The sequence below is a fragment of the Homo sapiens genome, chromosome 22, assembly GCF_000001405.40.
Source record: "Homo sapiens chromosome 22, GRCh38.p14 Primary Assembly".
NCBI classification, from domain to species: Eukaryota; Metazoa; Chordata; class Mammalia; order Primates; family Hominidae; genus Homo; species Homo sapiens.
In genome coordinates, this window is record NC_000022.11 from 37,466,298 (window position 1) to 37,489,746 (window position 23,449).

Genomic DNA, 23,449 nt, shown 5'->3' on the forward strand with positions numbered 1-23,449 from the left:
GAAGCCACCTGCCTAAGGGCATAGAGCCACAGGTGGGCAGCAGGGTGGAGCCCAGGCCTGAGGAGGTTCTCCAACTCTTCAGTTGTCCCGCAGCGAGATGACCACTGCAGAGCCAGGCTGCCTCCAACCTTGGCTCTGGCACCGAGAAGACCTATGACCTGGCACAAGGACCTTCTCCCCTTCTGTGCCTCAGTTTCCCAATCTGTAAAACGGGAATAACGATTGTACCTACTTCAAATAGGTGGGAATGAAATGAATTAATTTATGTCAAGTACTTAGAACAGTGCCTGACCCCCAACATGCATTTGATGGTAGATATGTATGTTTATAGTTCTGCTGGCATCAATACTTACAGAAGGGCAAAGCTGAGATGATAGGTCACCAGCCTCCCGGGGTGGAGTCCACCTCACTCACAGCAGGAGCAGGTGCATCAATTAAAAGATTGCCAGGGCTGGGCGCGGTGGCGCACATCTATAATCCCAGCACTTTGGGAGGCCGAGGCGGGCGGATCACTTGAGGTCAGGAGTTTGAAACCAGCCTGGCCAACTTGGCAAAACCCTGTCTCTACTAAAAATACAAAAATTAGCCAGGCGTGGTGGCACATGCCTGTAATCCCAGCTACTCAGGAGGCTGAAGCACAAGAATCACTTGAACCCAGGAGGCGGAAGTCGCAGTGAGCCAAGATCATGCCACTGCACTCCAGCCTCGGTGGCAGAGTGAGACTGTCTCAAAAAAGAAAAAGGTTGCTGGGAGGAGAGGAGACCTACCTTGGGCCCCTGCACACTCCTTGCTGGGGATAGGGGCTGGTTGAGGGAGCCATAGACCCCTATAGGAGATCTCCAGGCTCCTTCTGGTGTCTGCCCCAGGCCAGGGCTCCTGTTCTGGAGTCACTCTCTGTCCCTGTTATCATGGGGGCCTACCCTCAGCCACCTAGCCGAAGGATCAGTGACCACTCATGGTCCTCAAAGTATCTCATCCACATGCACCCTAAAATGGGCAGGCAGAGCTCAGGCTAAACGGGAGGAAGCTCAGCGGCAGCTATGTGCCCAAGGGGCATGGCAAGGCCAAGACTAGGTGGTCTAACCTTGCTACCCCACCCCACACTCAGCCCCTGCCTCTGGGGTCCAGATGGGTCACTTCAGCACAGGGCACAGGGAGCTTCCTAACTTCCCAGGCAGACACGCAAAGGGTTAAACTCAGACTCCCTCCTTCCTTCATCCCAATTCTGATCCTTGCTGACTCTGCTCCCCCTCCCTACCCCCAGCTATTCTGGGACAATGGAGGCAGCAGATGGCCCGAGTCCTGTTCCCTCCACCCGACCCTCAGGATCTGGGAGCAACACGAAAATCTGCTGCCGCGTCTAAATGCGGGCCGATGAGCAGCCTTCCCTGGGTGGGGTGGGGAGGACGGCGACTGTGGATGGCACCATTCCAGCCCCACGGGGCTGCAGGGCCGGGGGCTGCCCTCACTCGACTGGCATCCCATAAACCCAGCCCTGGGCCAGCCCAGAAAGAAGCGGGGCTTTGGAGAAGCACAAGTGGCCAGTTGCACCCAACTCACTGTGTGACCACAGCATGTGGCAGTCCCTCTCTGGACCTCTCCTCCCTGGAAAACAAAGGGGCTGGCTTCAGGTGCTCAGTGGTTCCAGATGTCCCCAGCACAGATGTAGCCAGAAGACAGTTTCTGATTCTTCAAGGGTGGAGCCCCTAGCCCTGGCTCCCTGGATCAGGGCCCCTCTGGCCCTCGGGATCTCTCCTCCTCCTTCCCCATCTGAGAGCCCCACTGTGACCCCAACTCCAAGCATCACTGGGCATGACACAGACCTCCCCTCTCTAACCCTCCCCTGCCTATGTGCCACCATGCCTGAAATTTCACCATGATCACTTTCATTCATCCATCCACCTCCTTGGGATCGGAAATTCCAAGGGCACTTGCATTTATTCAGTTCCTGCCCTTGGCTGTCAAATCGCCCTTTGGCACCATTATCTGATACCTGAGGCTAAGTCCCTCAGCCCTGAGTCTCCATTCCGCCTTCCCTGATTCTCTGACCTCCCCCAACCCAGGCCCTGGGGGCAGAGAAAAGGAGGAACCACTCCACACCTCACAGCACACAGGCTCACATGTATACATCATGTACACATGTGCGACACAGCCACAAAAACACACACCACAGGCCGGGCGCGGTGGCTCACGCCTGTAATCCCAGTACATTGGGAGGCCGAGGCAGGCGGATCTCAAGGTCAGGAGATCGAGACCATCCTGGCCAACATGGTAAAACCCTGTCTCTACTGAAAATACAGAAATTAACTGGGCGCGGTGGTGCACACCTGTAATCCCAGCTACTCAGGGGGCTGAGGCAGGAGAATTGGGAGAACTGCTTGAACCCTGCAGGCGGAGGTTGCAGTGAGCCAAGATTGCGCCACTGCACTCCAGCCTGGTAACAGAGTGAGACTCTGTCTCAAAAAAAAAAAAAAAAAAAAAAAAAAACACATGGACATGTTTATGCACAGACACATGTAGAAGGTACATGCCACACACACACATACACCTGTGTACCGCCTCACACACCAGGACTCACAAACACACTAGTAACAGTCACCAGCCACTCTGCCCTTCCTTTCTCTGTGCCAGGCTCTGTAACATGGTCTTTGCACACATCATATCACACCACCAAAAGTGATCACCATCTCCACTGTGATAGACAGATAAAGACCATACCCCGTCAGGAACAATTTGGCTGCATGTAACAGAAAACTGGACCAAGAGAGACTTAAACAAATAAGCATTTAATTTTTGTACAGAACCAGATGCTGGAGGGAATAGCTGTGGATGATTGTCTTGGCCTTTCCTTCATGGTAGCAAGGTGGCTGCCCCAGATCCAGCCATCACACCCACATTTATAGCAGGAAGATGGGGAGTGGGCTGCAAAACCTTCCCCAGAAACATCTCTATTGGATTTGCTTAGTTCCCTCTGGCCAGAGCTGGTCCCATGGTAGCCCCTAACAGCAAGAAAGGCTGGGAAATGAGCAAAAAGGATCATCACAATTGGCTGGGACCCGTTATGCTCCATCATCTGGGCCCCGGCATGCTGAGGCTCCAAACAAAATCTGGTCCTGTTCGCAAGGGGTGGGGAGCAAGGAGCTTTGGGAGACTGGTTGGCAACAACAGCAGGTGCTGCAGACCCTGGATTCTGCCATCATTCCACCCATGTCCCTTCAGGAACTCGGGACACAGATGAGGGAGGCAGGAGTGGGCGGCCCAGCGCTTGAGCCCCAGGGGAATGACTGAGAGACATTAGCCAGGGCCAACGGCCAGACCCCACCCAGAGGCCATGTCACTGCCTAAAGGGTTAGGACCCCTGAGCCCCAGCCCAGCTCAAGTGCCCCCTGCCCTTTTTCAATTCAGCCTCCTGAGGGAGTCTAGCCCCTGGAGCCTCTCTGGCCACCACCTGGTCCACCTGGTCCCCTGGGCTGTCTAACTCACCTCCCAGGGGCCTGGGGTGCCTTCAGTGCCAATTGCCACTCAGATCCTGGGCTTGCCAACCACCCGAAGGCCCTGCCAGGGACTGCCTATCACAAGACACTTGCCAGGGACCCACAGTGCCACCTTGGGAGCCAAGGCACACCCAGAAGTCTCTGCCCAACCTTTGCCCAGCAGTTCAGGATTCATCGGGCACCCAGCTGGGGACACCAGGGTGTATCTGGATAGAGCAGACAATGGAGGGAGCGAAATCTGCAGAGAGACCAGAAAAGGACAGGATGGTCACCCCCCACTTCTGCTCTCAGCCCACTCTCCTAGGTGCACACATGCCACAGAGGCGGTTTGGAGCAGGGTTTCTCTACCTCAACACCACTAACACTTAGGGCCAGAGAATTCTTTGTTGTGGAGCTGTCCTGTGCCTTGCGAGATATTTAACAGCATTCCTGGGCTCTACCCACAAGATTCCAGTAGCATCTTCCTGAATCATAAGAATCAAAAATGTCTCCGACATTGCCAGACGTCCCCTAAGAGACAAATCACCCCCACTTGAGAACCGCTAGTTTGGAGAAACTTCAAAAGCCAGAGAAGCCATAAAGAGACCTCAGCTGAGGCCAATCATCTGATCACATGCATCTGAATCTCTAGGTGGCTCCAGACCCATTTGGCAGTAATCTATGACTTCTAGAATCTTCAAGCTTTGAGGAAATTTAACAGCAATTCTTAAACCTCTTGTCAGTATAGCTACGGCTTACACACTGCTGACGGGGAGCTCATCCTACTAGAAGGCAGCTTCGTTCGTCTTGGAATTTTGAATTTTTGTTCCTATATCGAGCCAAATTCTATCTCCTTGTAATATCCAACTTGTTCAACGCAGCCTTGGCCGCAAGGGCCCTCAGCATCATGGGAGCCCTCTGCCCCAGGACAGGCAGCACTGCAGAACGTCAGGGCCAGGGGCCCTGGTTCCTCCAAGCATCACAAGCGTCCAGACAGAGCCTACAAAGGCCTTGGAGAGGCCCCTGCCACGTCCCCAACCAAATTTGACACCATTCCCTCCTCTTCTCCACATTCCAGTCACACAGTCTCCCGTTCCTACCTTGAGCAGGTCAAGGCCTGTCTCCTGCTATCAGGCCTTTGCATATGCTGTCCCCTCTGCGGGAGTGATCTGCCACCTGCTCTTCTCCTAGCGAACTCCTGCTAGCCCTTCAGGTCCTTCACGTTACCTCCTCACAGAAGCCTTCCCCGGCCAGCCCCTACTCCCCAGTCAACATCAGGGCTCTGACTTACTCTCCCATAACAACCTATACTGGCATACTCACCCTCATCCCCTACACACACAGTGTCCCAGACTCCCCGTCCCCCAGGACTCCCTCTGGACAAGTCTCTGTCACTCAAGTGGGCCCAGAGTTCACCTCATGCCCTCCTCTACTCGTTACCTCCCTGAGTCCCTGCTAAGTCTCCAAAGGCAGAATCAGGGCTCCTTCCCCAGTTCCCAGACCCATTGCATGTCACTACAAGGAGCAGAAATGCAAATAGAAGGGTTGGGGCTAGTCCAGCTGCCCAGAGATGGAACAGACTGCCACAGGAGGGAGGAACTCCCCATGGCTGTAGGCATGCAAGGTGAAGCCAGCCCATCAGTTGGCAGAGATGCTGGGAAGGGGTCAAGCATCAGTTCTGGGGTTGGACTGATGGGCCCAGAGTCCATGTGTCCCCTCCCCCAACTCCTCTCCACCCCCATCCCGCCACCCCTGGCCAGAATCACAAGCCATAGCTGGGCCGGGGGCAGCGGCTCATGCCTGTAATCCTAGCACTTTGGGAGGTCAAGGCAGGCGGATCACTTGAGGTCAGGAGTTCGAAACCAGCCTGGCCAACATGGTGAAACCCCGCCTCCACTAAAAACACAAAAATTAGCCAGGCATGGTGGCAGGCGCCTGTAATCCCAGCTATTCGGGAGGCTGAGGCAGAAGAATTGTTTGAACCCGGGGGGCGGAGGTTGCAGTGAGTCGAGATCGCACCACTGCACTCCAGCCTGGGCAACAGAGCGAGGCTCCATCTCAAAAAAAAAAAAAAAAAAAAAAAAAGCCACAGCTGGCAGGTGCTGGTGTGTGGAAAGGAAGCTGCATATCACAGGCTATGCTCCAAGACTGCTCTAGACCAGTCAGGAGCGGATTTGGGTGGCCCATCTCCCCGTGGCCAGTTCTGGGCAGAACTGGAAGGTGTTATTCCAACCCTTTACCTGCCTAAAAGAAGCATTTAAGAGTATCAAAGAAACAAGGAGTCCAAAAGAGATAAAATAAAAATCCCCCACCAGAGCCTGAAGTTCCACCATGAGAGCGTTGCCTGTGCTCAGGGAAGGCATTTCAGCCTTCCAGGGACTCCCAAAGAACCCCAGAGGATTGGGGCTGGGAGAGCTCTTCAGATCCATCATGGCCAGCCTCCAGGTGTTACTAATGGGAGACCGAATCCCAGAGAGGGCAAGACACTTGCCCAAGGTCACACAGCAAGCCAGTGGCAGGGTCAGAAACTGAAATCCACTCCCTCCACTCCTAGCTCTGTGCTGTCAGCCACCAAAGCCTGTCCCACTCCACTCCCTCCCAGCTCCCCCATGTTTGGATGCCTGGACTCAGCCCCCACTCCTCCCATCCAAGGTTCCAGCCCCCAGACCCACCTGGAGGGGTCCTCCTCCGGGGAGAAGGGGCCCTGTAGCTTAATGACGTTGAGTTTCCCCTCAAAGACACCGTAGCTGAGGGTGACCTGGGCAGGGAGATAGAAGAGTGTTGGGGCATCACACTGGGGATCCCCACAAGGGGGCAGCATCCTGGCACAGGTGGAGGAGGGGTTTTAAGCTGCAGGGAAAGCTGCCCGGGAACCTGAAATTCCCCGCTGGTGGTGGGAGCCCACCCCACGCCCCAAGGCACTTCACAGCTGGAAGAGCACTGCCATGCCCTTAATCCCATTTGCTCCCTCAAGAGTTGAGCTCCCCTGAGAAGCTGGAACAATACCCCCATCTACAGATTTGGAAACTGAGGCTCAACAGGAAAAGGCAGCTTTCCAGTAAGCTGCAAGCCTGGACTAGAATGGAGGTTTTCTGAGACTCACTGGAGGGCCTTGGCACATCCCTCTTCACCCGGAGCCCCTACTCCACCAGGCAGTGACGACATGGATCATGATTTCAGCTCAGAGGCTGTAGAGCACAGTGGTTAAAGACTGTGGGCATAGGGACCACCCAGCTAGGGTTCCAGTGCCCCTCTGCCCCATATTAGCTGTGTGCCGTGGTCAGTTCAGCTCGCTGGGTCTCATTTTCCCCATCTATAGAATGGGGATAATGTTAGTACTGACCTCATGTGACTACTGTGAGGAACCAGAGAGTTAAAGAAGGGTGGCTGGGTGCGGTGGCTCATGCCTGTAATCCCAGCACTTTGGAAGGCTGAGGCAGGTGGATTACTTGAGGTCAGGAGTTCGAGACCAGCCTGGCCAACATGGTGAAACCCTGTCTCTACTAAAAATAGCCAGGCATGGTGGTGGGTGCCTGTAGTCCCAGCTACTCAGGAGGCTGAGGCAGGAGAATCACTTGAACCCGGGAGGTGGAGGTTGCAGAGAGCCAAAATCGTGCCATTGTACTCCAACCTGGGCAACAGAGCGAGACTCTATCTCAAAAAAAAAAAGAAGGGAAGGACCCCAGTGTGGTGCCTGGCATTGTGGGTACTCAGGATACCCTAACCATTAGGATGCCCTGGTTTGGGCTGCCTCAAATCTGCCTCTCTTTCCTGGCTTCAGGCCCTGCCATCCTAATGGGACCAACCTCACACCCCAGTTCCAGGCCTGGCCAATCAACACTAACTCCAGGTGCTGGTAGGAGATGGGTCACCTGACCCAAGCCCAGTCATCAAATCAATGAACGCCAGCCCGGGGATCTGAAGGAAGGAGGCGCTCTCCTCCGATAGTGGGGGGAAAGCTGGGGCTGCCATCTTGCCAACATGAGGGCTGAGCCCACCTGAGGATGGGCCAACTTGGGGGAGAGCTTCTCAGTTATGTGAGCCAACAATTTCCTTTTCAGGTTAGCCAGTTCACGTTGAGTTTCTGTCACACTGTTGGGCAGGAGATCCCGGGGACGCTCCCAGCCAGGACCATCTACAGTGTCAGAGGGCAGCCTCTCCGAGGCAGAGCCAGTTGGACCTGTATCACCTGCCAGGTGGTGGGATGGGGTCCCCCTCCTCCCCCAGCCTAACATAATGCTGAGCGTCCCCCCAAAGACCCATTCCATCCCGGTAACCTCAGGGTTGGCAGGAACAGCACTGAGCAATGGATAGGGGAGTTTTGATGAAGGAAGGGGCTCCTAACAGGTAAAATTAGAAGAGCCAGCTGGGCTCCCCGGGAGGAATGTGGGGAGGATGGAAGACTGAGTAGAGGTATGGGTGGAGAGCAGGGTGGTGGGAACCTGAAGACAACCTCATCTCATTTGTTCAGGTCCTTCCCGGCATTTGAGGACCAGATCAAAGAATTTCAGCTTCACAAATGCTAATCCTTGAGGGTTAGAGGTGAAGGGGTTGAGTCCCTGTGTACCCTTAGGGTGTCCTTTGCCACCCTAGGCCTCAGTTTCCCCATCAATAGGGAATACCCAAGACCCATAATCTGGAGTTCCAGGTTTCTTTCAAACGCCAGGAGGGAGGGTTGGGGGGACCCCATGTTCCTTTGGTTCCCCTTCCCATTTGCCACCTGCCCCCAAGGCCAGCTCACCTGTTCTGGGAGCTGTGCAGTCCTCAGCAGCTGCAGGGTCTCCAGGTGGGAGTGAAAGAGGGGGCTGGGCTGCAGGCGGCCGCCCAGCTTGCACTCAATGATATAGCCCATGGTGCAGTCATCAGGCAGCCGGATGAGAGCAGATGTGTCCATGAAACGGGAGCCACTGAGGGACAGAGCCAGACTGCAGACGCTGGCCCAGGCCCTCCACACCCAGAGCCGTGGGCCACCCCATGAAGGCCCTCCACTGGGACAAGCTGGCAGAACAGAGCACCTGCCTCCTGCATACTGTATGACCTTGAGCAAGTCAGGAACCTTGGGGAGCCTCAGCCTCAGTCTCCTGTTCTGTGAAATGGGGATGCTAATGGCCGTGTCTTCGTGGAGCTGTCGTGAGGATTAAACAGGGAATGGGAAGGTGATGCCCTTTATAAATGTAGCCTTTCCTTCTCTCTCTGTCTTGTCATTCATTCATTCACTCATTTATTCATTGCTGGTGCCAGATACCATGCTAGGGCTGAGGATACAGAGATGAGAAAGAAACGCTTCCTGCCCCCAACAGCAGCCCCTATTCTGGCGGGAGACAGAGCAGGGAGCAGGTCTTTCAAAGAGTGGTGCTAAGTCAGAGGGAAGCATGCTGCCTGGGGGTACAGGGAGAATCAGGCGGGCTTTCCAGAGGAGGTGGCAGCTTTTTTGTGTGTTCATTTGTTTGTTTGTTTGTTTGTTTGTTTTTGAGACAGAGTCTCCCTTCATTGCCCAGGCTGGAGTGCAGTGGTGCAATCTCGGCTCACTGCAATCTCCGCCTCCTGGGTTTAAGCAATTCTCCTGTCTCAGCCTCCTGAATAGCTGGGACTACAGGCACCCGCTGCCATGCCCGGCTAATCTTTGTATTTTTAGTAGAGACAGAGTTTCACCACGTTGGCCAGGCTGGTCTTGAACTCCTAACCTCAAGTGAGTCACCCACCTCAGCCTCCCAAAGTGCTGGGATTACAGGCATGAGCCACCTAAACAGAGTCTTGCAGGATGGGCTGGAGTCAGCCAGTGCTGAGGGGAGACAGGAACAGAGTCCCAGGCATGGACTTCAACTGGCCGCGTATACCCCATTAATGCCGCTGCCCTGGATGCTTGTCCAAGGGGCAAGTGGGTGTGGAAATCCAGCCTGTACTCCCCTCCCCAGCCTGCACTCCCCTCCCCAGCCTGCACTCCCCTCCCCAGCCTGCATGCCCTCAAGCTGCACCTGCAGGAGTTGGAGGGAGAGGGCTTTTTCTAATTCACACAAAGGTAATTTAGAGGTGGGCAGAAGCCTGGGTGGGGGCACCCCAGGCACACGGATGACCCTGGTCATGTGTACACACACAGTTCTGTGGACATGCCCCAGGACAATGAGCCCGCTCTTGTCCAGTATGAATTGCCTGGGGCGCCCCTCCCAGCCAGGGCAAGGCAGGGCAGGCTTGGGTAGTAGCAAGGCTTGCAGACCTTGGAGCCAAACCCAGCAGCTGAGTGACCTTGAACCTGGCTGACCTCAGACTGGCTTAATCTCAGTGCCTCAGTTGCCTGAGATCTAGAAACAAGACTAATGCCACCTTCTCCCCCAGGTGTTGTGATCCTCTTGATGGAGCACAGAGCTGGCTCAGAGTCAGTCCTCAATACAAGGGAGTGGCTGCTGATGGTGCTGTTAATAATAATAATAGCCCGGAAAGACCTCCAGAAGCCAGGCCTCGCCACTTCTAGAACACCTGTGTCCCACCCCCACCCACACTGCGGCCTCCACTACCCCTGAGATCCCCTCATAATATTAGGAGTAATATCATCTCCCTTAGATGATATTATGAATAATATCACAGGATGTACACCCACTGTGCTATTAGGAGTAATATCATCTCCCTTAGATGGCCCAGTGTATAGTGGACTGTCCCAGCTCAAATACCACCTCTTCCTGGAAGCCTTCCCTTCTTCCCTCACCCAGAAGGCCCTTCTCCCTCCTCTGAAGACCCTTAGATTTGGCCTTCACCTCCCCTACGGCATTGACCAGTCAGAAAAGGGCGGTAAATAGCACCTACCAGGGCCAGCCCAGACATTTTCTCATTTAACCCTTACTACACCATTGGCCACTGCATTATCAGGTCCATGTGCCGACGGGGGGACTGGGGCTCTTGGAGATGACATGACTTGCCTGTGAGTGGCACGTCATGCGCTCAGCCGTGCAGCCCCTGAGGGCAGGTGGCAGGTGGCTTGTTCACCACCAACTGCCGCTCTGTGACACACGCAAATGAGGAGCAGCTTCTCCTGAGCTCACTCTCAAAGCCCTTCCTGCTGCAAAGGCCCCTCCTGTACCCCAGCTGCCACCCCCTCCCCGCCTTCCTGCCCACCCCTGGGTCTCTGCTTACCTGGCCCACGGAGCCATCTTCAAAGCCAGTTTGCGATTGATGCAGAAGCCAGCACCCCCAGTGGCAAACCAGAACTGTACCAGCCTCTGAGAGAGAGGAAGGCCAAGGGGCAGAGTGAGCCTGGTGGCAGTTGTGGGGAAAAGGGACAGCCAGGCCACCCTTCACCCCCAACCAGCATGGCTCAAAAGCCCTTTATTTTGAATCTCACTAGAGTCTTGCTACAACCTGGCATTATTGCACCCATTCTATAGATAAGAAAACAGAGGCCCGAAGTCACATAGTTAATTATGAGTGGTGAGGTCACTGATCAGACTCAAGTCCAGCTGAATTCCAGTTAAAGGGGACAGGTGTTGTTTTACCCACCCAGCCACCATGCCCCTTTCCCCTGAGAAAGGTCTCTACCTCACTCCATGTGGCTTGGGAGGGGCTGCCGAACATGGCACCTGCTCTCCTGGGCCACAGAGGTGGGCCTAGGTTGACGGGGCCTGAGTGTGCATAGGAAAGATGTGGCTGGGAAACAAAGGTCAGGCTGTGTCCAATACAAATCACTAACACTTTTTTTTTTTTAAGAGACAGAGTCTTGCTCTGTTGCCCAGGCTCAAGTGCAGTGGCACCATCTCTGCTCACTGCAACCTCCGCCTCCCAGGTTCAAGCGATTCTCCAGCCTCAGCTTCCCAAATAGCTGGAACTACAGACGTGCGCCACCACGCCCAACTAATTTTTGTATTTTTTAGTAGAGACAGGGTTTAACTATTTGTTGGCCAGGCTGGTCTCAAACTCCTGACCTCAGGTGATTCACCTGCCTCGGCCTCCCAAAGTGCTGGGATTACAGATATGAGCCACCGCGCCCGGCCTCAGATCACTAACACTTTCTAGTGTTGACTTCGTGCCAGGTCTCATTCCAAGGACTTGGAGAGATGACCTCATTTCATTCTTTCTTCTGTGTTCACGACCACTCTTTGAGTAGGGGCTGTTATCACCCATTTCACAGATTAGGAAACTGAGGCACAGAGAGGTGAGGTGACCTCAGTCAAGGTCACAAAGCCAGGAGGTGGCAGGGCTGCCGTGTAAACCCAGGGAGTCAGGCTCCAGCGTGCAGTTCTCCACCCCAGAGGCAAACTGCTTAGGCAGAGGTGAGTCGCCAGCAGTGAAGTGGTGTGAGAGCCTGGGGGACCCCCTGGCTCCCCTGGAATCACTCATACACAGAGCCCTAGGGCCCAGAAGAATTTAATTAAGGCTCAGAGGCTGATTAGCTACTGATAATTAAGGCTCTGTGTTTTCTGCTCTTGGTTTTCCTAATGAAGCAGATGGGGACCTGGGAAGGGAGGTTGAGCCCCGCTGTGTGCCCAGCTCCTGCACCAGGCACTGCCTCTAGAGAGGGACCTCCCGATCTGCCTTCTTCCTGGAGCCAAGGGAGCCCTAGGGCCAGGACCACTCTAACACCTGATGCCCAGGGGGTCCTGGGGACAGGGAGAGAACCATGCAATATTTGGGACATACTTATACTAAAAATTTCCTCATTATTTATGAGAAAGTCAAGTTTAACTGGATGTAGTGGTTTTTCATTTATTTGTTTAATGAATCTGGCAACCCAAATCAGTGTCCATCCAGGTCAGGAACTGAGGCGGGTACAGAGCCCCCTGTTTTGCCAGGTGTCGACTCTTCAGTCACAGGCTAGTGGAGGTGTCTGGAGGGAGAGGGTGCCCCAGGAGGGGAAGGTGGGGAAGGGTTCTGGGGCTCAGGTGGCAGCAATCACCCAGCCCCACAGTATTCAGCAATTTTTTTTTTTTTTTTTGACGGAGGGACGGAGTCTCGCTCTGCCGCCCAGGCTGGAGTGCAGTGGCACAATCTCAGCTCACTGCAACCTCCGCCTCCTGGGTTCAAGCGATTCTCCTCTCTCAGCCTCCCGAGTAGCTGGGACTACAGGTGCCCGCCACCATGCCCAGCTAATTTTTGTATTTTTAGTAGAGACGGGGTTTCACCATATTGGTCAGGCTGGTCTCGAACTCTTGACCTCAGGTCACCCACCCACCTCAGCCTCCCAAAGTGCTGGGATTACAGGCATGAGCCACTGCCCCCAGCCATTCCAGCATTTTAACAACCTGCACACCTACATGGGGACACCAGGTGACTGGGAGCCCTGCTGTGGTGTCACACAGCCTCAGCTCACCTGGATGCTCCCTGAGTGACCAGGACAAGCCGTGGTTCCTGGGGGATGGAGGCCTCACTATGTACTGTGTCTGTGCCACGACTGCATGATCTCAGTCTCCCCATTTCACAGAGGAAGAGACTGAGGGTTGAAGAGGGGAAGCTACCAGCCCAAACCCACATAGGGCCAAACCTGAAACCCAGAACCCCTCTCACCTCTCTAGCACACCCCCACCCCCAGGACCGGCCCGGCCCTTGGGATCAGCGGGCCAAGGGGCAAAGGAGGAGGAGAGGGACCCACCGTGCGGTTGTGGGGCTGTGGCTCTGAGGCATGGATGGGCCGGTTCAGGCTGGGCCTTCCCACATAGACGTCGCGGGCCAGCGGGAAGGCTCTCAGAAGCTGCAGCAGCGCCCTTGGGTTCACATAGTTGTCATCGTCCACATGGCAGAACCACCTGTAGGGATGAAACGGGGACAGTGAACTTGTTGGGGGGGTTCCAAGCCAGGGTCCCCAAGCACCCCCACAGTCGGTCAACAGTGACGGAATGGGGGTAGGGGTGGGAGAGGCTGACATTTAAGGCATCTGTTTTGTGCCAAGTTGCATATTGTGTAAGCTCATGAGGAGGGTACCCACTTCACAGTTGAGGACCAAGACTGAGAGGTTAAGACACTCGCCCTGGCCAGGTGTGGTGGCTCACGCCTGTAAGCCCAGCACTTTAGGAGGCCGAGGCAGGTGAATCACCTGAGGTCAGGAGTTCGAGACCAGCCTGGCCAACATGGTGAAACCCCGTCTCTACTAAAATTACAAAAGTTAGCCAGGCATGATGGTGGGCATCTGTCATCCCAGCTACTTGGGAGGCTGAGGCAGGAGAATCGCTTGAATCCAGGAGCGGAGGTTGCAATGAGCCGAGACTGCACCATTTGCACTCCAGCCTGGGCAAGAAGAACGATACTCTGTCTCAAAAAAAAAAGCCATTTTCCCAAGGTCACATACCCAATCCTGAATGTCAGGACTGGAACCCAGCTGGACTTCCCAGCCATCTGCCCACTGCCTGCTAGAGGAGTGGGGGCTGAAGTCAGACCCCAGGAGTCCCAGGGGTTATTTTCACTGGGCCCAGACCACACTTATCCCCAGAGACCCAGGAACACTCGCCTAAGCCCACTGGCCAAGAAGGTGTCGAACTCAGCAGCCATCTTGCAGGACAGAGCTGGGTGGCTGTGTTCCGCGGAGCAGTTGGTGACCACAAGGTGGGACCCTGGAGAAGTGAGGAGGAGTCAGGGGACCCTGCCCAGGTCCCCCCTTCAGAGCCCTGAACACAGAATACAGAGCAAGGCTGGGCAACAGGGAGTCTGGAGCAGCCCACCCACTCCCATTTTACACATGGTAGGACTGAGACCCGGGGAAGGCAGACCTGCCCAGGACCACAGACCTAGTGGACAGCAGGCTGGGCTGGGACTCAGGTGTCCAGGGCCTTGTCCAGCACCGCTCTTCCCCATACCCACGCCCACACCAGTTTCCAGGGAAGAGGCCCACTTCCCTCCTGGGCAAAGGGGAATCTCCACATGCCAAGGGTGGGCGGCCCATTTCCTGGGAACCCTCAGGCCAGGGCACAGCCGCCCCAGCTTTCCCAGGCAACAGCTAAAGTCCCCCACCACACCCAGGCCGGGCAGAGTTACCCAGTCTCTCCTGGAGGCCTTTGTCTGGGCTGTCGGTGAAGACAAATGTCTAGGAAGGAGAAGAAGGGGTCAGGACTCACATCGGCCCAAGGGACACCCCAGACCAATCCACAGCCCACCACCACCAGGCCCCAGATGGACTCTGTACTCCTCCAGTGACAGACACACCCCTCTCATGGTCACACGCTCCTTTAGGACAACATACAACACACACAACCCAGCTTTTGTAGACACACAACTTCAGGGTGTACACAGCCCACAGTCTAAACACATACACTCACCCCCTTTCCAGAGCAGCACCACAGGGACCCAACCACAGCCACACACCTGGGCAGCATCTCACCCTCTTCTATCACACACACACACAATCACACACACACACACAATCACAGCTGCACTCGGCTCCTCCACAATCACAGAACACAATCTTAAACCCATTTTCAGGACACAAACTCTATGTGAACAGACCCACGGCCACACCATGGGACACCACGCCACTAGGGAGACGTCACACCTTCACAGCCACACAAACCCCCTGTGCAAGCCATCTCGGAAATGCTGCCTCACAACCCAGTCCGGCTCTCCCAGATTGGACATGCACTTGCCCGCAACGACCCTCAAACCTCACGAGGCAGGCGTTGTCATCTGTTCCCTTTCCAGATGACAAAAAGGAGGCTGAGTGATGGACCAGGATTGGCAAGTGCCAGGCTGAGATTCAAACCCATAGGCCCCGGACCTCTCCCCACCGCCTCCCAGGCAGCTAAAGCTGCTCAGCCCCTACATAATCCAAGCTCAGACTCTGAATGAGAGGTAGAGGAAGTACATGGATGCGACAAAGACAAGCCAGGCTGGGGACAAAGACAAGCCAGGCTGGGGACTGGTGTTCTTCCCATTCCATGCCCGGCCCAACATGGCAGAGCTTCTCAGCTGCCCAAGTGGGTCCTCTCACCCATTGAGCATCAGGGGCCTTTGAGGGCCTCCCCGGCCCTGGGACTGCCCGGCCCAGGACTCAGGACAATTCCGGACCCCTTCCAAGTGTCCCACCTCTTTAAAGCCCTCCGACTCTCTCAGCCCCCACTGGGGCCACACTCGTGGCTTAACCCTGTCCTCCCTTGAAGCTCAGCGCCTCCAACTGCAATGCTCCCCTCTGCTTACCTAAAATCCCCTCCCTCCTTTCCAGGAATTAGCCCTTCAGATCAGAAGAGTCCCCGCCTTGATCCTCAGTTTACCCATCTACAAAAGGGGGATAGTAGTGGCTGTGAGAATAAAACAAGATTGTGTGTAAAAGAGCAAGGAAGAGTTGACAGTGAAGTCAGGCTCAACTACTTGTATTTCAGGGGAAACTGAGGCATAGGAGGCCAGGAGGCCGGGAGCCAGGTTTGACACAGGAAGGGGCAGGAGGGAGCCAGGCTATCTCCTAAGGCCCATGGCCACAGCCCTGCTTCTGAGCCACTATCACCTCTCACTGGACTACTGCAAGACTCTGCCTCATTCCCTCAGATATGTTTCCCTGCCAGGACCAGAATCGAGTAACACCCAACTCCACCCACCAGCCACTAACACCTTCCATGGCTCCCTACTACTCTTGGGATAAAGGCCAGCCTCCCTAAGTGTGGCCAGTGAGGGGCCACCTGGCCACCCTGCCTGATGTAGTCTGATCTCATTACTTCCTGTCCACCCCTGGGGCTTCTCTCTCTGTCTCTCTCTCTCACACACACACACGCACACACACGCACGCATACACACACACACACACACACGCACGTGCGCACGCCTCTGAGCCTCTGCGCATGCTATGCCCTCTTTCCACCCTCTAGCTCCCAGCTCAGGCATCACCTTCCCCAGGAAGCCTTCCCTGACACCCCTCCAGCTACTTTAGAGGCCCCTGCTATGTGTTCCTCAGCCCTCTGTTTCTCCTGTCACTAACAGCAGTTAGCAAAACTCCCTGGTTACAGAAATTTCTCTCCCCGTCTCTTCCACCAGACGATGGCATCCTGGAGACCACAGGCTGGGTCCAATTTGTCTCCTTGCTCCGGCACCTGGCTCTCCTCAGGAAGGCCTGTGCAGCATCCACCCTCTGAGCCTCTCTCCCTGGGGTCTGTCTCCCACCGTCAGATTTAGCGAATGCTGGAGGTCTCTGGATTTCCGCAGGGGGAAATGGTGGTGGTCCAAGCCTAGACCCTGGTCCGCTTCTCCATGAAGCCCACTCCGTCAGTGACGCCATGCAGCCTCTCAGCTTTAAACACCATCAGGGAGCTGGAGACTCGTGGACACCACCAGCCCTAGCCTCTCCCTGAGCTCCAAACTGTCAAATCCCCTGAAACCATGACGTCTCCTGGGGGCTTAACACATCAAGACTGAGCCCCCGTTCTCCCCAAGACCTGCTCCTCCCTCTCACTGGTTGGGACCCAAAACCTCAGACTCCCCGCTCCTCCTCTCTTCCTCTCACACCTCTTCCCGAGCCTGTCATCAATTCTGCTCACCAGCCTCCAAATCGTCTGGGACGCTGCTCTTCCCTCCGGCCCACCCGGCCACCTAGTCCCCGCCACTGTCGTCACCTGCTGCCTGCTTTGCTGCAGGCCCTCCTCCCTGGCCTCCCTGCTCCCTGCCTCCACCCCAAGTCGGTTTTCAACACAGCCTCAAGGGATCCTATCAAAGAAACCAGGCCTTTCCTACCCTGCCCTCGACAAACTTTTGCCACCAAACAGCCACCCGATAGTGAAACACTCTCAAGCTTGGAGCATGGGCCAAATGGGCTGAGGACTGTTTCCCGGTGAAGATCTAGTAAGCCTGAATAAAGCAGGAGAATAGGCACTTTGGGAGGCCAAGGCAGGTGGATCATTTGAGGCCAGGAGTTCAAGACCAGCCTGGCCAACATGGCAAAACCCCATCTCTACTAAAAATAGAAAAATTAGCCGGGCGTGGTGCGCATGCCTGTAGTCCAAGCTACTCAGGAAGCTGAGGATCACTTGAAACCAGGAGGCGGAGGTTGCAGTGAGCCAGGATCGTGCCACTGCACTCCAGCCTGGAAAACAGAGTGAGACTCTGTCTCAAAATAAACAAAACAAAACACCAGCAGCCATGAACAGAGTGAGGGAGAGAGCCGGGAAGGGGAGTCCAGGTCCAGAGGGGGCGGGGGCACAGGAGAGGGCAGTGAGGCTGGCGCTTTCAGTCCCTGGGAATCCTAAGGTTGGCACAGAGCGATGGGCAGAGTTTCTTTGGAGCCAAGGGCTGCATTTGACTTGTTTAAGGAGGGGACCTGACAATGGTGAAAACTTCACAGGCAGCCGCGGGAAACAAAGGGACACGCAGCCTGCTGGGGCAGGGGAGGGGTGGCCGGGGACCATCTGCTGCAGAGGAGGGGAGTGGTGGGGCTGCTGCCACCTCTCCCCCCAACAAGGGGACCATAGGGAGGAGAAAGGCTCGCCTTGAGCACAAAACCCGCCTCCCCCAGCCCACCCCCTCAGCCCAGGACAAAGGCCGGCACACGAGTCCCGGCCCCTGCCGCAAGGCCCACCTGCCACCCGACCGCCCTTAACCAGCCAGGCGGGCGCCCAGCGCTGCAGTTAACCAGCTCAGGCCCGGTCCAGACACTCCTGCCCCGTGCAGATGGGGAAACTGCGGGCCGAAAGGGGAGGGCCTTGGCTGAGGTCACAGAGAGAAGTGAGCCAAAGGGTGAGAGACGTGGGGTAGCGACTCCTGTAGCCCAGTGACCCAGTCCTCACAGGGTTCCCAAGTCTCAGCAGGGGAGAAAAGCACCCAACCAGGAGCAAGGTTCTAGGTCCCACTGGGCTCTGTCCCCTCAGGCCTTCTGCGTGACACCACGCCAGCCAGCACTTCCTCTCTCTGGCCTCAGTTTCCTCATCCGGGGCAAGGGCACCACCGCGGTGATGGAGATAAGACAGGAAAGGGCCGTGGGCCACGTGAGGCCACGCTCCCGGGTACACAGACGCATAAACAGGAAGGCCTGCGGGAGGGCCCGCCTTGGCTGCTTCCGCAGGAAGAACCAGGATCTCCCCAAGATGAGAAGCCGTGTGGGGCCCAGAGAAGAGCTGAGGTGCTGGGGGCCAGCTGGGGAAGAGTTAATCCCAAGTACGAGGGCAGAAATCAGGGCAGGGTGCCCCTCCCCAGGAGGGCCTGGCCTCTGCCAGCCATCCTCTCCCCCTCCTTTTGGTCTTCCAGGAGGTCTCGACTATCTCCAAAGACTCAGTCACTTCCTCCCACTGAGCCAGCCGCCAAAGAGGGGACCGATGTGTGTGTGTGTGTGTGTGTGTGTGTACCCATTCTCCACCTCCCCCATCAACGGTCCCTAACACCGACATCACTAACTTTGCTTAAGGAAGATACTGGATGCGAGGAGGGAAAGGGCTGGAAGGGACTTGGCTCGCCGGAGCCGCACAGCCATGTGACAGACATGCCTCTTGTCACACACATCTAGCACACTCCAGCTCCGTGCGTGTGAGCACACACACACACACACACACAATCCCACGTGCCAGGCAGGCCTCCCCAACCTCCGGCCCACCACTGCCTCAGCCGCCACCCTCGTGGCATGCGCTCTCCTTCCCTCCCTCGGAAGCAGTCCGCAGGAAGCCAACACAGGAGGCCAGACATGGCGGCCTCGGCACACCCGGGGCAGCAGAGACACAGCGGCAGGGGCTATCGGGAAGGCCGAAGGGATGCCTCCCCCAAGAACAGACCCCACCATTCTCCTCCCGTCCTCCACCCTCAGAGCCCGGGCAGGACAGCACCTAGGGCCTGGGTGGGACAGCCTGGCCTGGGCACGGGTCTGGGTCAGGACCTCTTGGAGGCCTCCACCCCAGCTGCCCAACACCCACCATTACCCCTGATGCCAGGCTGGGCCTGGGTGGCTAGGAGCGAAGCCCCCACGGGAGCGGCTAGGAATAGAAGAACCCCCAGGAGGGACCCGGGAGCCTGGAGCAGGGGCCCAGCCTGGCCCCCAAAAGTGGTGGAGCGGTAGGACCTGGGTGCACCTGGAGTCAGGACCAGTACAGGGCACGGGCAGGGCCGCAGGCAGCCCCTAAAGCCCGGAAGAAGGAGAGAGGAAGAGGATCCCTGATTAGGCAGGTATTGAGCAGCTTCTCCCATGAGGCAGTCAGGGACCCCAGCCCAGTAGAAAGGCCTCTGAGAACCCCTTAGGCCAGGGGCCACCCCCAGGGCCCAATGTCACCCACTTGTCACCTGTTCCCTGGTCCTGGAAACCCACGTGTCAAGCAGCAGCTCCAGGCGCAAGCGGTGGAAAGCCCGGGTCGTCTTCACTGCAATGAAGACATCGTGTAGCTGTAGCTTAGGGGGCCCCGGGTTCGGCTGGCTCAGCTCGGGGGTCCCTTGTACCCGCTGCGGGGACAGGTTCAAGTGGTACCGCAGACACAGGAGCCCCATGCACAGGAGGGTGAGGAGGGCTCCAGCCAGGCCCCGCGGGAGCCGGCACTGCATTGGTTGGCCCTGGGACCCCAGACAGCTCAGCCCCCAAATCCCAACCAGACAGGGAGGGGAAGCTGGTCAGGCAGGGGCTCCAGCAGAGGCAAAAGTCTGGCAGGCATCAGGGGCTGGCAAGGAGGGAAGAGGTAGGAGCTGAGGCTCTGGACCCAGAGGCTGAGCCATGGCAGCACGATCTCGACCGCCGCCAGTCCTCCACCTGCTCCCGCTGTCCGGCCTGCCGCAGCCTCCGGGACCGCCTGGCCCCGCCCCGCTTAGCCCGAGGGGCGGGGCCAGACGAAGGGAACCCCAGACAGAGGCGGCTGAAAGGAGGCACCAGCAGAAAGGGCAGCCCCGGCTCTGCCAGCTGCTGCGGTGGGAGGAAGTCACAACAAACCCTCCGTGCCCGGTGGAAGGGAGTGTCCTCCAGCACCGTCCACTCCCCCAGAGAGCTGTCAGCTCGGCCCATTCAACACCCATTACTTTGGTGTCCTGCTTCACCCAGCCCCCAGCTTTTGCTCACAGGTTTCCTCCGGGATGCTCTCCCATATTCCACCAGCCTCACCCACATTCCCTCCACTAGGCTGAGTTCTATCTGGACTTCAAAGCTTAAGGGTTCCCTCCTCCAGGAAGCCTTCCGTGATAACCTCTTAACCTCTGGGGCTCCCACAGTTGTTCGCTCAGTTCCTGAGGTCTTCACAACAGCACTGGGACTGTCGTTCCCAGTTTATAGCTGAAGACATAAGGCACAAAGGCACAGAATGAGCAAAAACGATCCAGCAACTCAGCCGCAGAGCTGGCAGAACCCAGGTCTCTGTTCCTCATCTAGTTCACAGGAGGTCCCCTGAGGGCACCTGTCCAGCTGTGCCCCAGCCCATACCCGACCTCACTCCGCAGTCTCTGGAGCTGCCTCTCTCCCAGCACCTGACCAGTGGACAGACAGAGGGCCTTCTCCAGCCACCACCTCCATCTTGTTTCGCACAAGCTCACTCACACCTCCTCCCTCCTCCACTCAGAGCCTGCACTGGCTCCCATTTTCTTCAGAACAAAAGCCAAAACGCACACAGCAGCCCACAAGGCCCTGCGTGAGCTGGCTCCCAAGTTACTCCCACCCCATCTCCTGCTACTCACCCTGCTCCACTCCAGAACCTGGGACCCTCGCTGGCCCAGGCACCTGGCCGCCACAGGACCTTGGCACTTGCTGTTCCCACCTGGGCCCCTCCCTAGAGACCTGCACGTCTCACTCCCCCACTCCCTTCTGGTCTTTACACAAAGGTCACCGTCTCTGTGAGGCCTTCCCTGACCACGTTATTAACATTGCAACCCCTCGCCGCCTCCTTCCCAGCCCCCCAGGCCTGTCCCTCTCAAGCCACTTCACTGTTTTCTTCATCACACTTTTCATCTTCCAACATTCTGTATGTTTAACTAAGTTTCTGTCCTCCTCATGAGAATATCAGGGCAGGATTTATTTTTTGATCACTGAGTCCCTAATCCCCAGTGCCTAGAACAGTGACCGGCAGACAAGAACTCAATCAATGTTAATTCAACACAACAAAGTACCAGGTGGCTGGCAAAGGGAAGTGGCCCTGCCGGGCTCAACCCTGCATGAGGACAGCTGGGGGAGAGGAAGGGAAAACCAACCCTTTGAATGACCTTCTCATGGGCCAGCCCCCAGCCAGGCCCCTTCACAGGCCATATTCTCAGAATGGTGATGATGCCAGCCTTGGTGATGATCCCAGACTCTGTACCCCACAGACCAGGTTTAAATCCTGACTGGGGGCTGGGCGCCATGGCTCACGCCTGTACTCCCAGCACTTTGGGAGGCCAAGGCAGGCAGATCACTTGAGGTCAGGAGTTCAAGACCAGCCTGGCCAACATGGTGAAACCCCGTCTCTACCAAAAATACAAAAATTAGCTAGGCATTGTGGCAGGCACCTGTAATCCCAGCTACTAGGGAGGCTGAGGCAGGAGAATCACTTGAACCCGGGAGGCAGAGGTTGCAGTGAGCCGAGATGGCGCCATTGCACTCCAGCCTAGGCAACAAGAGTGAAACTCCATCTCAAAAAAAAAAATTCCCAACTGGGCCACTCACTGGCTGTATGACTCTAGGAAAGTTACCTTCATCATTTCTAAAATGGGGACAAAAATATGACTTGGTGACGATTACAGGATGAGTGGGCTTCTCCACCCCACAGAAAGGATGCTTGACACGGGGAACAGGCAAAGGCAGCCAAGTCACAGGCCCCTGCCTTTCCCCAGGCCAAGCACTGGGCCAGGCTCACTGTGGGGCAGGGGGAGGTTCATGTACCCAAATGCACACAGCCCAGTTTCCATGCCCAGGAAGCCACAGACATCGAGAGACAGCCACACAGACACCCTCGTCCCACCACAAGGCAGAATATGGCATGGGCCAGGAGAAGTCCCAAGGGCTGGGAGGACCTGGTGGTGGGTTTCATGGAGATACGTAATATCTCAGCCAGGCTTCAAAGATCAGGAAGATTCAGGCAGGGAGAGCAGCCCAGGCAGGGGCCACATGAGCAGAGGAGCACAGCTAAGGGTAAACTGAAAGGCCACTGCCACTGCCCGCGGTGGGGAGGATGTGGCTGGGGGGATGGGAGAGTCAACACCTGGGAAGGCCTGGAGTAGAAAGCGGCATTGCCGCTGATTCCCATGCAGGGAGGCTGCCCTTCCCCCAGGGCACCGCCTTTGCCACTCAGGGTCCAGCTCCCCAGCCCCTACCCCAGTGGTGACAGACTGGCAGGCCTCCAAGTCCAATCTGCACCTTGTCAAAGACACCCTGTCGTAGAGAGTGGGAAGACCTTTTCCCAAGCAATGGCTCAGCCCCAGCCACACGTGCTCACCTAGCCGTGGCCAATCCGTACCTCCATGCTCACTCCACCATCCGGGCCTCCACTCCACAGGGGAGGGCCCTGGGCCCAGAGAGGCCACCCGAGTTGCCAGGGTCTCCTGGCTGACCAGAGCTTTGGGTTTCAACCAAACTACAGTGCCCTGCGCACCCTGCACTCCATCCTGGGAAAGCCTCTCTGGGTTCCCGGGACAGCCTGGGCCCACCGTCCACCCTGGCCTCATACCCAAGCACCGTCATCCTGCGTGGTCCAGTCTCTGAGACCCTCACCACCTCTCCCCTACACCCACTCCTTGTCTCTTCCCACTAAAGATGGGGCTGTGGCCCCCTGATCCACACCCCAATCCCCTCTCCCAGCTTCTCCATTCCCTTCTCCACCCACCACCCCAAATCCCCAGCCCTGACCCCTTCTTAAGCATTTTTCTTGTCAAACATGGAGATCCAGACCCACCCCTGGAGGCCACAGATCCCCTCCTTCCTGTCTGCTCCTCTCTCCTCCACTGCCCCTGCCCCCCACCCCCTACTCCAATTGGCCTCAGCCCTCTCTAAGTCAACTCCAAACCAGAGCTCCCATAGCCCTGCTCCCACATCCTGAGAGGCTCCCACAGCCTCCAGGGCACAGCCCAAGCTCCTTTGCGCTCCCAACCCCACCCCTGGACTTGCCCTTCCCAACCTCATTTCCGACCCCATCCAAGGTGGCCAGATCCAACCCATGTGCTGC

At 56.6% G+C, this 23,449-nt stretch overlaps 1 protein-coding gene across 3 annotated transcripts, besides 11 other annotated features; it reads right to left on the reverse strand.

Moving 5' to 3' along the window:
- Positions 677-1,290: an enhancer, noted in NCBI's record as "H3K27ac-H3K4me1 hESC enhancer chr22:37863012-37863625 (GRCh37/hg19 assembly coordinates)". NCBI's record gives its function as "activates a minimal SCP1, AML or CMV promoter by ChIP-STARR-seq in naive H9 embryonic stem cells {active_cell/tissue: H9 hESC(naive)}" and the evidence as "EXISTENCE:reporter gene assay evidence [ECO:0000049][PMID:30033119]".
- Positions 2,766-20,087, reverse strand: MFNG (MFNG O-fucosylpeptide 3-beta-N-acetylglucosaminyltransferase). Of its 3 annotated transcripts, NM_002405.4 has the most exons (8): positions 19,626-20,087; positions 14,424-14,472; positions 13,900-14,002; positions 13,048-13,201; positions 10,599-10,684; positions 8,215-8,380; positions 6,146-6,231; positions 2,766-3,732 (listed from the first exon to the last, which is right to left on the reverse strand). In NM_002405.4, the coding sequence occupies exons 1-8, from the start codon at positions 19,878-19,880 to the stop codon at positions 3,666-3,668; spliced, it is 966 nt and encodes a 321-aa protein (NP_002396.2). In that variant the 5' UTR covers positions 19,881-20,087; the 3' UTR covers positions 2,766-3,665. The 3 variants fall into 3 exon arrangements, 2 of the variants coding, with proteins under 2 accessions (NP_002396.2, NP_001159815.1); NR_029413.2 differs by lacking the exon at positions 14,424-14,472; NM_001166343.2 differs by lacking the exon at positions 14,424-14,472 and having other exon boundaries at positions 19,619-20,087.
- Positions 2,946-3,447: an enhancer, noted in NCBI's record as "H3K4me1 hESC enhancer chr22:37865281-37865782 (GRCh37/hg19 assembly coordinates)". NCBI's record gives its function as "activates a minimal SCP1, AML or CMV promoter by ChIP-STARR-seq in primed H9 embryonic stem cells {active_cell/tissue: H9 hESC(primed)}" and the evidence as "EXISTENCE:reporter gene assay evidence [ECO:0000049][PMID:30033119]".
- Positions 17,914-18,423: an enhancer, noted in NCBI's record as "H3K4me1 hESC enhancer chr22:37880249-37880758 (GRCh37/hg19 assembly coordinates)". NCBI's record gives its function as "activates a minimal SCP1, AML or CMV promoter by ChIP-STARR-seq in primed H9 embryonic stem cells {active_cell/tissue: H9 hESC(primed)}" and the evidence as "EXISTENCE:reporter gene assay evidence [ECO:0000049][PMID:30033119]".
- Positions 17,914-18,681: a biological region, named in NCBI's record as "H3K4me1 hESC enhancer GRCh37_chr22:37880249-37880758".
- Positions 18,272-18,681: an enhancer, noted in NCBI's record as "active region_18972". NCBI's record gives its function as "activates an Ori minimal core promoter by ATAC-STARR-seq in GM12878 lymphoblastoid cells {active_cell/tissue: GM12878}" and the evidence as "EXISTENCE:reporter gene assay evidence [ECO:0000049][PMID:35858748]".
- Positions 18,972-19,031: an enhancer, noted in NCBI's record as "active region_18973". NCBI's record gives its function as "activates an Ori minimal core promoter by ATAC-STARR-seq in GM12878 lymphoblastoid cells {active_cell/tissue: GM12878}" and the evidence as "EXISTENCE:reporter gene assay evidence [ECO:0000049][PMID:35858748]".
- Positions 19,432-19,481: an enhancer, noted in NCBI's record as "active region_18974". NCBI's record gives its function as "activates an Ori minimal core promoter by ATAC-STARR-seq in GM12878 lymphoblastoid cells {active_cell/tissue: GM12878}" and the evidence as "EXISTENCE:reporter gene assay evidence [ECO:0000049][PMID:35858748]".
- Positions 19,958-20,467: an enhancer, noted in NCBI's record as "H3K4me1 hESC enhancer chr22:37882293-37882802 (GRCh37/hg19 assembly coordinates)". NCBI's record gives its function as "activates a minimal SCP1, AML or CMV promoter by ChIP-STARR-seq in naive H9 embryonic stem cells {active_cell/tissue: H9 hESC(naive)}" and the evidence as "EXISTENCE:reporter gene assay evidence [ECO:0000049][PMID:30033119]".
- Positions 20,052-20,181: a silencer, noted in NCBI's record as "silent region_13685". NCBI's record gives its function as "represses an Ori minimal core promoter by ATAC-STARR-seq in GM12878 lymphoblastoid cells {active_cell/tissue: GM12878}" and the evidence as "EXISTENCE:reporter gene assay evidence [ECO:0000049][PMID:35858748]".
- Positions 20,468-20,979: an enhancer, noted in NCBI's record as "H3K4me1 hESC enhancer chr22:37882803-37883314 (GRCh37/hg19 assembly coordinates)". NCBI's record gives its function as "activates a minimal SCP1, AML or CMV promoter by ChIP-STARR-seq in primed H9 embryonic stem cells {active_cell/tissue: H9 hESC(primed)}" and the evidence as "EXISTENCE:reporter gene assay evidence [ECO:0000049][PMID:30033119]".
- Positions 20,980-21,489: an enhancer, noted in NCBI's record as "H3K4me1 hESC enhancer chr22:37883315-37883824 (GRCh37/hg19 assembly coordinates)". NCBI's record gives its function as "activates a minimal SCP1, AML or CMV promoter by ChIP-STARR-seq in primed H9 embryonic stem cells {active_cell/tissue: H9 hESC(primed)}" and the evidence as "EXISTENCE:reporter gene assay evidence [ECO:0000049][PMID:30033119]".

What these genes read in the sequence shown, in the direction of transcription:
- MFNG (NM_002405.4), bottom strand. Translation starts at nt 19,880, where the DNA reads ATGCAGTGCCGGCTCCCGCGGGGCCTGGCTGGAGCCCTCCTCACCCTC. An exon ending in AGGCCTCCAGGAGAGACTGG is followed by an intron (nt 14,003 to 14,423) that starts GTAACTCTGCCC and finishes TCACTTCTCCAG; the next exon opens with GGTCCCACCTTGTGGTCACC. An exon ending in CACAGCCCCACAACCGCACG is followed by an intron (nt 10,685 to 13,047) that starts GTGGGTCCCTCT and finishes CCTCTCTCTCAG; the next exon opens with AGGCTGGTACAGTTCTGGTT.